This window comes from Homo sapiens, chromosome 21 (genome assembly GCF_000001405.40).
Source record: "Homo sapiens chromosome 21, GRCh38.p14 Primary Assembly".
NCBI classification, from domain to species: domain Eukaryota; kingdom Metazoa; phylum Chordata; class Mammalia; order Primates; family Hominidae; genus Homo; species Homo sapiens.
In genome coordinates this window covers 6514902-6533144 of record NC_000021.9, presented here as the reverse complement: position 1 = coordinate 6533144, position 18243 = coordinate 6514902, and the positions used below count along the sequence as shown (strand labels likewise).

At 46.7% G+C, this 18243-nt stretch overlaps 1 protein-coding gene and 2 long non-coding RNA genes across 4 annotated transcripts in view, besides 1 other annotated feature; 2 read left to right on the top strand and 1 right to left on the bottom strand.

Moving 5' to 3' along the window:
• LOC102724701 (uncharacterized) overlaps positions 1-18243 on the top strand; it is a 441766-nt gene that overhangs the window by 137587 nt on the left and 285936 nt on the right. The gene's annotated exons all lie outside the window — the stretch shown is intronic.
• The window catches only part of LOC102724652 (crystallin alpha A2), a 65287-nt gene that overhangs the window by 31345 nt on the left and 15699 nt on the right, over positions 1-18243 (bottom strand). The window lies entirely within an intron of this gene.
• Positions 1-18243: part of a sequence alteration artifact (region identified as an assembly artifact by the Genome Reference Consortium. This region falsely duplicates sequence located at GRCh38 chr21:43035651-43187643) that runs on past both edges of the window.
• On the top strand, positions 369-938 carry LOC106780825 (FOXM1-regulated, gastric cancer associated-like). The gene is made up of 2 exons (NR_133678.1): positions 369-499; positions 648-938. It is a non-coding gene; the product is annotated as an FOXM1-regulated, gastric cancer associated-like (long non-coding RNA).

The following is an 18243-nucleotide window of genomic DNA, read 5'->3' as shown; positions in this document are numbered from 1 at the left end:
CCTCCATCAACGTGCCTGGGAGCCCTGCCAGGTGAGAGCCCTGTTGTTCCTGGATGACTGTGGACCGCTCACTCCAGCCCCTCAGCCCCTACCCAGCCTGCCCCCAGGAGCAGCACGGCTGGGCACCAGCATCTCTCCAGCTGGCAGTTGCCCCACTGGGATCCCCCAAATGCCCTGCAAGCCAAGGTGTGCAAGCCCTGCACACTGAGGGCTGGAGGGCAGCCCCCGTGCTGTGTTCCAGATGGAGGGAGGGGTGGGGAGGGGGGAGCTACACTGGGGAGGGCTGCGCCGGTCACTGCCGAGGAGGGAAAGCCTCAACATCACCCCTCTTACCCCCCATCTCCCGCAGCCTCCCAGCAAGGTTGTGGCCCGCAGCGGACGCTCCCCACGAGGTAGAGCCCCGTTTCCACACCTGGAGCAGCTGCACCTGGAGGTGGGGCTCATCTCCAGACCTGGAGCAGCTGCCTGCCCCAGGGCAGAAGCCACTGCCCGCAGCTAGGTGAGGCCATGTGCCCAGTCCTGGTCAATGGACTGAGCATGAGGGGATGTGTGCCCAGCAGCAGGGACTACTGTGCACTGAAGGCCAGGGCCGCTGGATTGGGACAAATAAATACAGCAGGTCCTCAAATCCCATCGTTTCATTCTAGGGAGCATTGAGGAGGTCTCCCCAGGTCCGCGCGGGTTTTCTCCAGGTCCTCCAGTTTCCTCCCACATCCCAAGTATACACCTCAGCCTCACGGCATGTCTACATGGGCCTAGTCCGAGTGAGTGTGGGTGTCCCATGGAGGCCTGTCCTATCCAGGGCGGGTGCCCACCTTGGCACTGAGCCTCCAGGATGGGCCCTGGTCACCTGCCACTCTGAACTGGAGAAAGCAAGTTGGAAAATGAATGAATACATGAATATAAATTATCAAATAAAAATTATAAAGCCTACGGTAATCACACAAACGCATGACAACAAACGCCGCGTGTGAGGGTGCTCAAGGAGCCGCCATACTCACGGTCGCTTGTCTTTCAGCTGTGCGGTGGGAGGAGGTGCTCCCAAGAGCGTGTGCTTTGCAGACATTGATTCCGTGATTTCACCACCACCACTACCACCGCCATCACTCACGGACATCCCAAATATTGGGTAGATCATGATCTCACTTGTTTGTATTAATCTTCCTTATGTAGGTGTAGCTACCTCTACATGTAGGGATAGTTTACATTTATTTCAATGTTTAATATTAGAAGTGTTTGGGTCTTTAGAAATTTGGTGGTGTTTTTTGTTTTTTTGTGGGGTTTTTTTGGAAATAGGGTTTTGTTCCGTCGCCCAGGCTGGAGTGTGGTGGTGTGATCACAGCTCACCGCAACCTTAGCCTCTGAGGCTCAAGCAATCCTCCCACCTCAGCCTCCTAAGTAGCTGGGACCACAGGCACACACCACCTTTCCTGGCTAATTTGGGGGGCATTTTTTGTAGAGATGGGGTTTCATCATGTCGCCCAGGCTGGTTTTGAACTCCTTGCCTCAAGAGATCTGCCACCTCAGCCTCCCGAAGTGCTGGGATTACAGGTGTGAGCCACCACACCTGTTCTGGTGATGTTTTGAGAGCAGAAATATGCCTCTTTTTTTTTTTTTGAGACAGAGTTTCACACTTATTGCCCAGGCTGGAGTGCGGTGGCGTGATCTCGGCTCACTGCAACCTCCACCTCCCAGGTTCAAGCGATTCTCCTGCCTCAGCCTCCCGAGTAGCTGGGATTACAGGCATGCACCACCACACCCAGCTACTTTTGTATTTTTAGTATTTCTCCATGTTGGTCAGGCTGGTCTTGAACTCCCAACCTCAGGTGATCTGCCCGCTTTGGCCTTCCAAAGTGCTGGGATTACTGGTGTGAGCCACCGCACCCAGCCTATGACATAGGAATTTAACTCTTGTTTATATCAACTAGCCTATGGTAAAATTGGTTTCATTATATGTTGTCTTGCTTAAAGTCACAGTTTCCAGGAAGCTGTGATGAAATTGAGGACTTACTGTATGCCATTATCTGTTTAAAAGAAATGATAAGTACCAACCCATGGCCCCTGTTTCCATGGGACCTAAGATGAAATGCCCAAGGTAAAGGCGATGGCTTCCATCTCCCAGTCCCCCGAGCCTGTCTGAGCTCCAATACTGGTTCTCTGTCCTGTGCCGTACCCCTTGGGAGACACTGACTTTCTCCCCCCAATCCAGTGGTCCCAAATAATCACCTCTGTAGTTGCAGAAGTGGAGAAGTGGACTGAGCCTTCACATTGCCTGAAAGATGGGGAACTCCGCCCTCTAGTGTCCGTCAGCACAGCAAGTGGGACACTTCCATTTCCAAAGTGGAAAGACGGTGCCTTTAAAGATGTAACCCCAACAGAGGTCAAGGTCTGAAAGGGGCACATTCTTTCCATGACTCTAGCCTGATAAAGACACCCACAACCCTCCCGCCACTTGCAAGATTTGATCCGAAACCAGCTTCTAACAGCTGCCAAACTAAAATGCCTTAGAGACATGGGGTAACCAAATTACAAACGCACGTTCCATTTGATGCAGCCATGCCACCTCTAGAACTGTATGCTGCAAATACAGAGTCGCACATGTGCAGTCACCTGTGCACAAGATTACTGTTGCAGCTGTTGGTGTTAGTGAAAAACGGACACTCCCTAAATGTGCACCGTAGAGAGTAGGTGTACCAGCCTCTGCTGCGTGGAACAGCCTGCAGTGGTTGAAAAATGAGGAAATCTGCACATTCATGTTCACAGCAGCGTCATTCACAACAGCCAAGAGGTGGAAACAACCCAGGCGTCCACCAACAGGTCAACAGATAAACACAATGTGGTCTGTACATGCAGTGAAATATTATTCACCTTTAGAAAGGAAGGCATTTTGACACATGCTACCACATGGATGAACCTTGAAGACAATATGCTCAGTAAAACAAAGCAGTCACAGGCCGGGCGCAGTGGCTCACGCCTGTAATCCGAGTTTGGGACCAGCCTGACCAACATGGTGAAACCCTGTTTCTATTAAAAATACAAACAAAAAAAAATTGCTGGGAGTGGTGGCACACACCTGTAATCCCAGCTACTCGGGAGGCTGAGGCAGGAGAATCACTTGAGCCCAGGAGTGCAAGTTGCAATGAGCTGAGATCGCACCACTGCACTCCAGCCTAGGCGATAGAACAAGATTCTGTCTCAAAAAAAAAAAAAAAAGACAGTCACAAAAGAACAAATGATTGCACTTGTTTGAGTTTCTTAGAGGAGTCATATGCATAGAGACGGACAATAGAATGGTAGGTGTCAGGGGCTGAGGGAAGGAGAACAGGCAGTTAGTGTTTAACGGGGACAGAGTTTTGATTTTGCAAGACAAAAAAGAGTTCTGGAGGTTGGTGGTAGTGATGGTTGCACAACAATGCAAATGTACTTAATATCACTGAACTGTACACTTATTAGTAAAAGGTTAAAATGGTGAATTTTATGTTACGTGTATTTTACCATTGAAAAATGAAGAAATTTCTTTGCTATTGTGGCACACACACAAAAAGAAATTCTTTGTTTTCGTATCTCCTTCCTTCTAGAGATATGGAAATATCTCCAACTTATTACATAAAAATAACATGGAGAACAACGTATGTATGGTGTGCTAACATTTATGCCAAAACAGGAAATACATATGCAATTGCTTGTAACTACATAAAATATCTCTAGGGCCCGCATGAAACTGGTCACACTGGCTGCTCCTGGTGAGGTTGTAGGAGGCTGAGCACAGAGCCAGCAGGGGACTTTTTGGTTATTTTTATTTTGAACCATGAGAAGGTATTAATCACACACACAGTAAGCGAAATAAAAATGCCATTTTCGGAAAGAATAAAGCCATTTATGGAAAGCCATGAATATGGGTTGCCTGCATACAGGCAGGTGTAATGGTGGTACAGATCACCATTATTCTGCTGGAAATAAAACTGACCTATATGGACCCCAGGTGCAGACCTGTTATGAACTGAATATTTATCAAAATTAAAATGTTGAAACCCTAACCTCCTATGGTGTTAGGAGGTGAGGACTCGGAGGTAATAAGGTTATGAGGATGGGGCCCTATAATGAGGTTAGTGCCTTTATAAGAAGAGAGAAGAGAGCTTGCTCACTCTCTCTCTCTCCTCACCGTCTGAGGATACAATGAGAAGGCAGCTGTCTGCAAACCAGGAAGAGAGACCTCACTAGGAACAGCACTGACCAGCAGCTTGATCTTGAATTTCCAGGCTCCAGAACTGTGAGAAATCAATTTCTGTTGTTTAATCTGTGTATCTGTGGCATTTGTCACAGAAGTCTCAGCTGAGGGAGATAAGACCTTAAGTCTTCTTAGGGGTTTAACTATATGGTCTGATCAATTACAGATGCTGATAAAACACAAACACCTTCCTTTTTAAAACTGAGATTCACTTGCTAAATTATTTCCCTGTGAGATCTTGTGACAACCATTCATGTGTGATTACATGGAAAGAACACGAAAGTGAGAGCCAAGCCGGGCATAGTGGCTACGCCTGTAATCCCAGCACTTTGGGAGGCTGAGGGGGGCGGATCACCTGAGGTCAGGAGTTCGAGACCAGCCTGACCAATATGGTGAAACCGTGTCTCTACTAAAAACACAAAAATTAGCTGGGCGTGGTGGTGCATGCCTGTAATCCCAGCTACTCAAGAGGTTGAGACAGGAGAATTGCTTGAACCCAGGAGGCGGAGGTTGCAGTGAGCTGAGATCTCGCCATTGTACTCCAGCCTGGATGACAGAGTGAGACTCCATCTTAAAAAAAAAAAAAAGAAAAGAAAAAGAAAGAAAGAGAGAAAGAAAGAGCCATCAGAACATGAGACTCCCTGCGCTTTGGGCAGCCAGGGAGACGAGCGTCTGTCTCCCTGGGGAGGGAGAGTTTACAGCTTTCTGCAGACCATGGCAGGGGGGTTATGTTTCATGTCATGGACTCACAAAGTTGGGGGTTTCAGAAGGGACCCCAGGAATCAACTAGTGCAACTCCCATTCCACAGATCAACAAACCAAGGCCCAGATTGAGAAAGTGACCGTCTGAAGTGTCCTTAGGATGGTTTTAGGATGACATCATGCTCCATGCCACAGCCCACCTGATTTGGGCCAGGAGCCCCTCCCCAAACTCTGCCAGCCTCACCTGGCCCTGGACCCCCACCAAGTTCCGGGCACAGTGGTCTGCTCACTGCTCCTCCACATAGAGCTCATGCTCCAGCCGCCACCCCGCCCCTGCCGACCCCGGGCCTTCACTCACTCTCAACTCTACATCTTTTCAGGGTCACACTCTCAACACCACAACCACAGCTGCTTCACCATCTGGGCTGCTCAGGGCCTCCGAGTGCCACGCATTCTCTCCACAGCTCTAAGCACTATCTGAAATTAGCTCACTTCTTTTCCTTTTTTTTGTCTTCTCTCTCCCACTGAACCTGGGGCCCCCGAGGGCAGGGGCCTGGTCTCATTTGCCCTGGTAACCCCAGTTCCTCAAGCAGCATCTGGTTCATAGGAGGTGCTCAAGAAATACGCAATGGATGAGTAAACAAAAGACTGAGTGACTGGAAGCCCCAGAACCCGGGCCCGGCAGAGCGTCATTCCATAAAGCACCGGCCTTTACAAAAGCCCGGCTGTTCATGGACTGCCATGTGTGGTGCATCTGGGTGCGGCTTCACTGCCCTGGTTGGTGGGCTGATACTGATTTTGGGGTTTTCTCCTATATCATCAGAGCACATCTCCCCTCTCACAGAGGAAGACAAATTCTTCCTTGGGTCTGTAAGACTTTTCAGACTTTTTTTTCTTTTTTTGAAACAGAGTCTCACTCCGTCACTCAGGCTGGAGTGCAGTGGTGTGATCTCAGCTCACTGCAACCTCAGCCTCCCGGGTTCAAATGATTCTCCTGCCTCAGCCTCCTGAGTGGCTGGAATTACAGGTGTGTGCCACCATACCTGGCTAATTTTTGTATTTTTAGTAGAGATGGGGTTTCACTGTGTTGGCCAGACTGGTCTCAAATTGCTGACCTCAGGTGATCTGCCCACCTCAGCCTCCCAAAATACTGGGATTATAGGCGTGAGCCACTGTGCCCTGCCTGTAAGACTTTGTAATACTTAATACTAAGTTATGTGTGCCACCAGCATGTACACATAATCATTTTCTTCTCCTTTAAGTAAAAAATGAGAAAGAACAGACACGTGGTACAGGGTCTGAGACAGAAAACCACTCTGGCCAGCAGCAGCATCGAAGGCACAAAGCAACCTTTGGTTCTGCCAGGAGGCTGTTCCTCCGCCACTGAGAGAGCCCATACCCGCATCCCAGCGGCTCCAGACGCCAGCTTCTGCCAGCTCTCAGGAATGTTTTGCTCCTGATCCACTTCTGCGTCTACTTCCTGATGCACTGGCTCCAGCCCAGCCGACATGCACGGCAGCAGAGAGATGGCTGTCACATCGGCTGCTCAAGCAGTCAGGGGCCAAGTGGAATCCTGGCACTGGGGAGAACGTTCACCACAGCGATGGAGCTAGTCTGTGATTCCGCTTGAAAAGCCACCTGCTAGGCGGTTTGTCTGCTCTCAGCCGGGCACCCTCACGCACCTGCAGTGGCGACAGGTGGGTCTTGTTGCTGTGGGCTGTCCCGATGCAATGGGCTGTAGCTGTCCCAATGCACTGAACTCTGTGCTCCAGCGGGCTGGCCCAGACACAGTGCAGCAGCTGGCAGAGCTGAGAGAAGAAGTGTGCAGTCCCCTGGCAGCCTCAGCTCAGGGCTGGCCTACAGTCACGTCTGCCACACCACTGCTCAAAGCCACTCTCCTGGATGTGCCACACTCAAACAGGAGAAACAGACGCCACCTCTTCAGATGAAGAGCTGCAAAGTCATCGATTTAAAGAGCAGCAAACTCATATCCTCATTTCTTTCTTTCTTTTTGAGACAGGGTCTTGCTCTGTTGCCCAGGCTGGACTAGAACTCCTGAGCTCAAGTAATCCTCCTGTTCACAGACCAAACTGAAGGTAGACCACCTATGCTCATGTCCCAGTGACAAGATGCAGATGAACTAGGAGAGAAGGGAGTTTTTATTTCTGTAACCAGTTACAGAGAGAAGGCCTGGAAATTATCACCAGACCAACTTAAAATGACAGCGTTTTCCAGAGCTTCTATACCTTCTCAGCTGTGTGTCTACGTGTGAGTGTGCATCCATCTAAAGACATAAGTGATTAACTTCTAATCCATAACTAAGATCTGAGTCCAGAAGACCTTCCTCCGGAGCCTCAGTGAATTTAATTAACCTAGCTGGGTCCAGGTGCTGGGGTGAAAACCCGGATCTGGCCTCCTGCTAAGTCATGGAGGTTTGGGGAGTTCCTTTAGTCTCCAGTAAAGCCTGTTTGTGGAGGCCTGGGGAGTTTCTTCAGACCCCCAATAAAATTTGTTTAATCCTAAATGGGTCCTGTTAAGAATTCCTTTGTTATCTCTTCATGCTTTAAAGCCCAGGAAAGGCCTGGGCAAAACTCTTGGTGGGCTTTTGTTACATTCCAGCCTTTGTATAAGGGCGCTGGCTCTTTCAGCTTTTAATATTTAACTTTACCACTTGGTCAGTACTGAAACAGTTGTTATGGAGGCCTGTGTTAGTGAGACCTGGCCTGCCACACCCCCACCTCAGCCTTGCAAGTAGCTGGGACCGTAGGTGTGTATGACCACAACCGGCTACGAAGTCCTATTTCTAAGGTGCATGGAAACAGTGAAGGGAAAATTAAGGCTATTTTCGCAAACAAAACATTCAAACAGGCCGGGCGCGGTGGCTCACGCCTGTAATCCCAGCACTTAGGAAGGCCGAGGCGGGTGGATCATGAGGTCAGGAGATCGAGACCATCCTGGCTAACAAGGTGAAACCCCGTCTCTACTAAAAATACAAAAAATTAGCCGGGCGCGGTGGCGGGCGCCTGTAGTCCCAGCTACTCGGGAGGCTGAGGCAGGAGAATGGCGTGAACCCGGGAAGCGGAGCTTGCAGTGAGCCGAGATTGCGCCACTGCAGTCCGCAGTCCGGCCTGGGCGACAGAGCGAGACTCCGTCTCAAAAAAAAAAAAAAAAAAAAAAAAAAATTCAAACAAACCATTTACAGCAGAATAAACAAATAAAAGCAAGTACTATAGATTGCATAGCCCTCATCAGGGGTCTGAGGCAGGACTCCAAAGGCAAATATACTGATATTTCTGCAGCCAAATTCATCATGGTAAGTGGAACAAATATCCCATAAACAGGATTACAGCTTGCTTCCAGCTGATTTATATAGTAATACAGTAGTTCATGAAATAGCAAGATAACCACATACCATAAATTTTCTAGTACTTCTTACTCCCAAAGACAATGTTCACTAAAGCTTCAAACACAGGTTCAAGTGAAGCCAAATGTCTGTGAAAGAAAAAAAGTCGTTTAAAAGCAAATAAAATTTCAGGACCCTCTAAATTTATTATGTCAAAGGGGATGTTAAGCCCTGGAGACTGAGTCAGTAGCATATTTGCAAATTCTGCTTCTTAGATTACAGCTTAACTCTCTTCCCCAGGGTCCTTGTTCTGGACATGACTAGGAGAAACATGAAGAACTGCAAAGTTATTGATGTTCTGAAACGCTGCAAAGTCATATTGTCATATTTCTTTCTTTTTGAGACAGGGTCTTGCTGTGTTGTTCAGGCTGGATTGGAACTCCTGAGCTCGACTGGGCACAGTGGCTCACACCTGTAATCCCAGCACTTTGGGAGGCTGAGGCGGGTGGATCACTTGAGGTCAGGAGGTCAAGACCAGCCTGACCAACATGGTGAAACCCCGTCTCTACTAAAAATACAAAAATTAGGCAGGCGTGGTGGCAAGTACCTGTAATCCCAGCTCCTCAGGAGGCTGAGGGAAGAGAATCACTTGAACCTGGGAAGTGGAGGTTGCATTGAGCCAAGATCGCGCCATTGCACTCCAGCCAGGGTGACAGAGCGAGACTCGTCTCAAAAAAAAAGAACTCCTGAGCTCAAGTAATCCTCCTGCCTCAGTCTCCCAGAGACCAGATCTCCTCCTTCCCATCACTGATCTCTGTTACAGATTAGCTGCCTCCTTTATTGTCCTGTACCCAACTCAGATCAGATGGCGCAAAGACCTCATGACGGTTGCATCTTCAGTGGGGAAGATTAAATACACCTTTCTTCTTCTTCTTCTTCTTTTTTTTTTTTTTTTGAGACAGAGTCTGGCTCTGTTGTCCAGGCTGGAGTGCAGTGGTGTGATCTTGGCTCACTGCAACCTCCGCCTCCCGGGTTCAAGCAATTCTCCTGCCTCAGCCTCCCGAGTAGCTGGGGTTATAGGTGCCTGCCACCACGCCCAGCTAATTTTTGCATTTTTAGTAGAGACAGGGTTTCACCATGTTAGCCATGCTGGTCTTGAACTCCTGCCCTCAGGTGATCTGCCCACCTTGGCCTCCCAAAGTGCTAGGATTACAGGCATGAGCCACTGTGCCTGGCCAAATACACCTTTCTTGAAAGAAAAAGACCACCTCGACTAATCAGACCATTGTAACTATGCATTAAAGCCTAAAGATGTTGAAATTCTGGTAAGCTTCCATAAACTTTATCTATATACATGGTCCCAAACTTCTATACTTCAGAACACTGACTTCCATTCTTTGGAATCTGTGCTTCCTGGATGGCTGGACTTAAACCTTGCACTTGAATAAACTCTCCTTAAACTAGATTCTGGCCCTTTTGACTATTTTAGATTGACACCTGTATGCATACATGTAATGAATCAGGCTACATCTGGCTGCTTGGGGGTCTTGGGAAAGGGAGCACAGCAGTGATACATTGCTGAGGTCATGGGGCTGGAGGCAGCATGGAGGATGGATTGAAGAGTCTCTGAAGTCCTGGGGCAGCACCGTGTCAATGGGCTTCTCGGCACTTCCTCCCACAACACCAGTGCCACACCTAAGCATCTCTCTAATTCAGGGGTCCTCCTGCTCACTGATAAATGTCCTTGAAGCCAGCAGTTAGCAGGCCACAGATATTGCCAGATAGTCTGTGGGGACTCCCCAGGGTCCACATCTCCCCGACATTTCCCCTCCCATTGTCACTGGTATTCAGTCGATTCCAGCAATTTCTCCATCATGCGAGGCAGGCACAATAGGTGCCCCATTTCTAGGTTCAGCATCTCTTCTCTGTGACTTTCTCCTGACTCCACTTTTGGTTGATAAACTTTGAGGGTCAATAATGCGGTTTGCTATCACCTTCTTCTGCCATAGATGGGCTTTATCTCCAGGTTCGGTTTCAAGAATTGTTTTAGGTCAAAGTGCTCGTGCAGTTGTGAAAGGAAAATCTCTTGGGCCCCCAAAATCACGAAGCTAAAGGGAAAAGTCAAACTGGGAGCTGCTTATAGCAAACCTGCCTCCCTTTCTACTGCAAGTCACCCCTCTGCTCACTGAGATAAATGCATATCTGATTGCTTCCTTTGGAGGGGCTCATCAGAAGCTCAAAAGAATGCGACCACTTGTCTCTTATCTACCCATGACCTGGAAGCCCCCTCCGGCTTTGAGTTCCGCTTTTGCTTTGAGTTGTCCCACCTTTCCGGACCAAACCAATGTTCATCTTACATGTGTTAACTGATGTCTCAGGTCTCCCCAAAGTGTCTAAAACCAAGCTGTGCTCCGACCACCTTGGGCACATGTTGTCAGGACCTCCTGAGGCCATGTCACGGGTACACGTCCTCAACCTTGGCAAAATAAACTTTCTAAATTAACTGAGGCCTGTCTCAAATGGTTGGGGTTCACACAGTCAACCAAGCGCACGTTAGTGGAACTGTCCATCCTGTCCGAGCATTTGTGACTGTGTGAATGGCAGCCTTGTGAGTGAACTTAGTCAGGAAGCCCTGCTTTCTGTTAATGGCAGGATTCCCCCTTCCCCCCAAAAAATCATTTATATTCACTCTTATTGGAGTGTAAAACTCCCTTCACAAATCGTGGAAAGTAAATGTCAGAAACATTGCTTTTCAAAAGACTTTCAGGAAAGGAATGTGTGGAGCAGCTGTGCAGAAATAACAAAATGTTCGTTTTTCTTCCAGACCAGCTTATCTGCAGTGAATTCCTGGCACTGATACAAAGGATTATTAAACCATGCAGAAAACATGGCTCGAGTTCCCAGTATATGTTCCCTTGCATACTAGCATACACCGTTCACACCAGTGGCTTTTTCCAACCACAACTAGCTTTGGCCAGCATCATCTCGTGCCTTTCCTCCTGGACGCCTGTTGTGACTCTCCGCAACCATCCTGCCTGTCTAGAAAGGAGCACAGGTGAAGCTGCCTGACTCATCAGCTACACAAACTTGTTCTGACTTAGGTTTTGTTGTTTTTTGGCTTTCAGACAGGGTCTCTCTCTGTCACCCAGGCTGAAGTGCAGTGGCACCATCTTGGCTCACTGCAGCCTCAACCTCCCTGGGCTCAGTGATCCTCCTACCTCAGCCTCCAGAGTAGCTGGGACTACAGGCATGCACCACCATGCTTGGCTAATTTCTGTATTTTTTGCAGAGATGGGGTTTTGCCACGTTGGCCAGACTGGTCTCAAATTCCTGGGCTCAAGCAATCCACTTGCCTTGGACTCCCAAAGTGCCGGGATCGCAGGCGTGAGCCACCGCGCCTGGTTGAGACTAAGGTTTTCAGAGGATACAAATCCATCAATGTAATTTTCAGCTGTTTCCTGATCAGGAAAGAAGCCTTTCCACCACAGCTATGCAGATTGTTTTACACCATGACACTTCTTGAATATTCATGCTCACCTTTAAAGTTCAGTTCTTCCTGCTGTATTCCAGCTTCTTTCATAACCAACAAACCACTCCTTGGCATACAGTGACTACTTCATTGCCAATTCCGTTCCATCCGTTCCTGGTCAAGATCTCTCTCCCTACACCACACCCCACTGACCCTGTGTTTTCCATATTTCAATGGCTCTTGGTAATCACAATTATTATAAATTTTCAACTGTTTGTCTTTTTTTTAATAGAGAGGGGATCTTGCTATGTTGGCCAGGTTGGTCTTGAACTCTTGACCTCAAGCAATCCTCCCACCTCAGCCTCCCAAAGTGCTAGGATTATAAGCATGAGCCACCACGCACAGCCCAACTGCTTGTCTTTTGATGGCTTCCCAACATCACTGATGCTTTCTGCACTATTGACAAAGAGAGTGTTTCCATGTGTCCTTCCCACAGTGAGCACTGGGTACATGCTACCCTTTTTGTATGAATTCACAGTGCAATTAAACCCATGGTCACAAAAAGACAAATGCATTTTAAAAATTAAAACATATACATTGTCAGCAACCAGCAGAGGTGCCTGTAACAGAGGGAGTGTTGGGATGCTGCCAACACCTTGGGTCAGGTCAGCTTTTGCAAATTTTGGCACCAAGTTTACAGAAAAAAAAAAAAAGTCCTTTTCATTTTCACAGCTTTTTGCTTTTTGGAATGCTGACAAGGGCCTGTGGGTCTGTTCCATCATGGAATCAGGATGAAAAGACAGAATTGGAGTCCTCAAAGCAACCCCAGTCTAGTAGGACAGAGATGTCAACACCGCATTAGAGCATCATTCAACAAGGGCAGTTTCTGATGCCTCATGGGCACCTACTAAGTGCCAAGCTTCGTCCACTCCTCAAAGGCAGGTTGGCTGATCCTATTAGCCAATGGAAACCCTGAGTCTAGAGAACTTCATAATGCAGGTCATGCAGCAGGAAGTGGCAAAGCAGGATAGCAGATCCAGGTCTGTTCAACCTTTGCAGGTAAGGAGGGGAAGCTGTTGAGAACCCAAAATGCATTGCACATCTGGGAGGGGGATGACTCCAAGGAGGCCTCAAGGGCCAAACTGGAATGCTGGGAAGGAGGGAGTGGGCATGGGTCCTGGAAGAACACACTGTGCACAGGCAGGAGGCTCCCACGACCAAGAGCTGAAAGTTGCCCGGCACATTCCAGGGACTGGGAGCCATGGAGGGTTCCCAGTAAGAAACAGCAGGATCGAATCTGTATTTCCCACAGAGCCCTCTGGCAGAAGGACAAATGGTCACCTAGAAAAGGAGGAAACAGCATAGATACTGCTGTAGTGATCCAGGTACACTCAGGAATGGCCAAGAGGAGGAAAAGGAGCAGACATGGTTGAGAGAAGCCAAGGAATTAGAATGGATGTGAATCAGACAACTTAGGGCAACCCAGGTGGGCTCAGGCTATAGATGACTGGCATTTACTAAATGCTTGAACAGAACGTCAAGAGATGGGAGGAGAAGGATAAAATGAAGTCAGCTGGAGATATGTTGAGCTGAGGTGCCTGGCACACTTCTAAGTGGAGATCTGTCTTCCGAATTTGTGTCTGTGCACCTGCCACAGTATCTGACACATCAGACATGCCCCCCAAAATATAAGATGGATGGACGGACAGATGGATGGATGGATAGATGGATGAATGACTCAGTGGGATGGATAGATGGATGGATGAATGGATGAATAAATGGGTGGGTGAAAGGACAGATGGATGGATGGATGGATGTCTGGGTGAGTGGATGGATGGATGGATGGATGGACGGACTAACAGACAAATGGGTGGATGGCTAGATGAGCGGATTGGTGGGTGAAAGGACAGACATATGAATGAACAGATGAAGGGAGGAATGAATTCTCGACTTTAAATAATGAGATTTAGAAACTATGATTAAGTACAAAGTTTATTCAAGCCCAAAGCTTAAGGATGGCCACCTGGGAGCCTAGATTCAAGTTCCCCTGAATAGATGCTCCAATTAGCAGCAGTGGGTTCTTTTTTTTTTTTTTTTTTGAGACAGGGTCTCACTCTGTCACCCAGTCTGGAGTGCAGTGGTGTGATCACAGCTTACTGCAGCCTCAACCTCCCAGATTCAAGCAATCCTCTCTCCTCAGCCTGCCTCAGTAGCTGGGACCACAGGCACATGCCCTTATGCTTGGATAATTTTTTAAAATTTTTTATAAAGACAGGCTCTCACTATGTTGTCTCAAACAAAAACAAAACAAAAAGCCCCACTCTCCTGTCTCTCTGGGCCTGATAACTTTGGCACACCTCACATAGCTCAGACTGCTCTGTGCTATTTTTTTCCCCATTTCTCCCCTTTTCATCAAGACCTTTCAAAGAAGGCCTCATAGAAAAATGCAAATTGTTTTGGCTCCCTTTATGTTCAGGAGCTTAGTCCTGAGTTGCTAGGAAGGTTAATTATCAGATGGCCTTGTCCCATGTAGGGGAGGGGAGATGTATTAAGCCATTCTTGCATTGCTATAGAGAAATAACCAGCTGGCTGCACTGGCTCGCGCCTGTAATCACAACACTTTGGGAGGCCGAGGTGGGCAGATGGCTTGAGCCCAGGAGTTTGAGACCAGCCTGGGCAGCATGACAAAACCTCACCTTTACTAAAAATTCAAAAAAAATTAGCCAGGCATGGTGGTACATGCCTGTAGTCTCAGTCACTCGGGAGGCTGAGGTGGGAGAATCACCTGAGCCTCGGGAGGAGAAGGCTGCCGTGAGCCATGATCATGCCACTGTACTCTAGCCTGGGTGACAGAGTAAGAACCTATCTTGCATGAAAATAAATAAATAAGTAAATAAATAAATAAATAAAAATAAGAAATACCTGAGATTGGGTAATATATAAGAAAAGAGGTTTAATTGGCACATGGTTCTGCAGGCTTTACAGGAAGTATGGTGCTGGCATCTGTTCAGCTTCTAGGAAGGCCTTAGGAAGCTGACAATCAGGGCAAAAGGTAAAGGGAGAGTGGGCATGTCACAAAGGGAAAGCAGGAACAAGAGAGAAAGAGGGAGAGAGTGGCAGGTGAGGTGCCACACACTTTTAAAAGACCAGATCTCATGAGAACTCACTATCACGAGGACAGCACCAAAGGGAGGGTGCTAAGCCATTCGTGAGAAATCCACCACCGTGAGCCAACCACCTCCACCAGGCCCCACCTCCAATGTTGGGGATTATATTTCAATATCAGATTTGGGTGAGGACAAATATCCAAATTATATCAGGGAAGGATACCTCTCAGTGAGGAATCTGAAGAAAGCCAAAAGCCAAATTGGGATGGCATCACAGGGTGGCAAAAATGAGACCTCAGCCAAGTCATCAATTTATATAACTGCTGTTGCCTGTTGAATCATCTCTAGTCTTCAGAATACCATGAATTTGGTTTTCTTAGGGGAACTAAAACAATGAGAGATACAGCTGGGCGTGGTGGCTCATGCCTGCAATCCCGGCACTTTGGGAGGCTGAGGCAGGTGGATCACTTGAGGTCAGGAGTTTGAGACCAGCCTGGCCAACATGGTGAAACCCCGTCTCTACTAAAAATACAAAAAATTAGCCGGGCATGGTGGCAAGCACCTGTAATCCCAGCTACTCTGGAGGCTGAGGCAGGAGAATCACTTGAACCCAGGAGGCAGAGATTGCAGTGAGCTAAGATCAAGCCATTGCACTCCAGCCTGGGCAACAAGAGTGAAACTCCATCTCAAAAAAAAAAAAAAAAAGAGAGAGAGAGAGAGATACATAGTAGAAATATAATACACATAAGAATTATAATCAGAAAGAAATGTGTATGCCAGAACAGAAGAAAACAATTCAATTTATGAGTGAACTAAAAACATCATAAAGAAAATTAAAACCCAGACCTTCTTTAAAGACTTGTTGTAGCCAGGAAATAATTAAGGATTGCAGGAAAATAACAAAAACTCAGAAACAATCATCAGGGCTGGAATCTATCAATAGGTATAAAATCGTTTTCTTCTGAAACATAATTTTTCTCTCTCAGATTCCCCATTTCTACCAAAGATAAATCTTAGTGGGACCAAGTTACTTGTAAAATAAGTTTTAGCATTATATTCAGCTTCATTATTTGCATAAAGTGGAACAAGAATAATGACTGATCATAAAGGTTCTTTTCAAGTTGGCTTTGAAGGAATTTTCATAGAGAATTTCAGATTAGACTTTTTAATCTGAGGCTTTAAAAAGCCAAAGATTCATCTTCAGATTGTGCCTGTAACACCTGCATGAACTGGGTGAGTTCCTCTTTTCTCAAGGCCCCAAAATATTTGAGGTTCCTGGGCCTGTCAGAAAGGGACATTATTTACTTACCTCAAGATCAGGAACCTTGTAAGGGAACTGTATAGATAAGGTACATGGCCACTCTTTCCAGGTAGCTTTTTATTGACTCTATAAAGCCAACCTGAATTCCTCAGAGCAGTCTGGTCATATCTGAAAATATGCCATTCCAGTCAAAGCCTTGCTAGAATAACCAGTGCCTTCAATTGTGTTCTGTTAACAAAGGAAAAAAATTTTTTACTAAAATTATGCAAATAATTATATTACAATAAAATAAGAATACTCATTCATAGTTTCTGAATTCTGGAGAAATCAGGTAGAAAGATAAATGCTTCAATTTTGCTCACAAAAATATATTTTACCCAATTGCTATAAGCTCTAAACAGATTTTTTTTTTTAAAGTTTTTGGCCAGGTACTGTGGCTCACGCCTGTAATCCCAGCACTTTGGGAGGCCAAGGAGGGTGGATCACTTGATGTCAGGAGTTCGAGACCAGCCTGGCCAACATGGTGAAACCCCGTCTCTACTAAAGGCATGGTGGCGCACACCTATAATCCCAGCTATTCAGGAGGCTGAGGCAGAAGAATCGCTTGAACCCGGGAGGCGGAGGTTGCAGTGAGCCGAGATTGCACCACTGCACTACAGCCTGGGCAACAAGAGCGAAACTCCATCTCAAAAAAAAAAAAAACAAAAGTTTTCTTAACTCTCGAAAACAAAACAAAAAGAGTTAGCAATGTTCCAACAAAAAAGTCATAAAAATAATTTCAGTCCGGTGTAATTAATTATTGTAATGCCTGATGCTGGATTAGAAATCTTCATGAATGCATCAGTTTTTCATTAGTGTTGTGGAAGTTTTTACCTAGTCCAATGGTATGATCTCTAAGTTTATTAGAAACCTGTATTCAAGAGTACTTCTCAGTGTCCTTTCCATGAATTTCCTTGAAGAAAAGATAAACTTTGGACTGCAGCTGATTGTAAACCACTTTTTTTCTTTTCTTTTTTCTTTTCTTTTTTTTTTTTTTTTTGAGATAGAGTCTCCCTCTGTTTCCCAGGCTGGAGTGCAGCAGTGTGATCTCAGCTCACTGCAATCTCCACCTCCAGGGTTCAAGCGATTCTCCTGCCTCAGCCTCCCAAGTAGCTGGGACCACAGCTGTGAATCCATCTGGTCCTGGACTTTTTTTGGTTGGTAGACTATTAATTATTGCCTCAATTTCAGAGCCTGTTATTGGTCTATTCAGGGATTCAACTTCTTCCTGGTGTAGTCTTGGGAGGGTGTATGTGTCCAGGAATTTATCTATTTCTTCTAGATTTTCTAGTTTTATTGTGTAGAGGTGTTCATAGTATTCTCTGATGGTAGTTTGTATTTCTGTGGGATTGGTGGTGATATCCCCTTTATCATCTTTTATTGCGTCTATCTGATTCTTCTCTCTTTTCTTCTTTATTAGTCTTGCTAGCGGTCTATCAATTTTGTTGATCTATTCAAAAAACCAGCTCCTGGATTCATTGATTTTTTGAAGGGTTTTTTGTGTCTCTATCTCCTTCAGTTCTGCTCTGATCTTAGTTATTTCTTGTCTTCTGCTAGCTTTTAAATGTGTTTGCTCTTGCTTCTCTAGTTCTTTTAGTTGTGATGTTAGGGTGTCAATTTTAGAACTTTCCTGCTTTCTCTTGTGGGTATTTAGTGCTGTCCAGCTTTGTTCCATTGCTGGTGAGGAGCTGCATTCCTTTGGAGGGGGAGAGGCGCTCTGATTTTTAGAATCTTCAGCTTTTCTGCTCTGTTTTTTCCCCATCTTTGTGGTTTTATCTACCTTTGGTCTTTGATGATGGTGATGTACAGATGGGGTTTTGGTGTGGATGTCCTTTCTGTTTGTTAGTTTTCCTTCTAACAGTCAGGACCCTCAGCTGCAAGTCTGTTGGAGTTTGCTGGAGGTCCACTCCAGACCCTGTTTGCCTGGGTATCAGCAGCAGAGGCTGCAGAACAGTGAATATTGCTGAACAGCAAATGTTGCTGCCTGATCGTTCCTCTGGAAGCTTCGTCTCAGAGGGGTACCCGGCCATGTGAGGTGTCAGTCTGCCCCTTCTGGAGGGTGCCTCCCAGTTAGGCTACTTGGGGGTCAGGGAC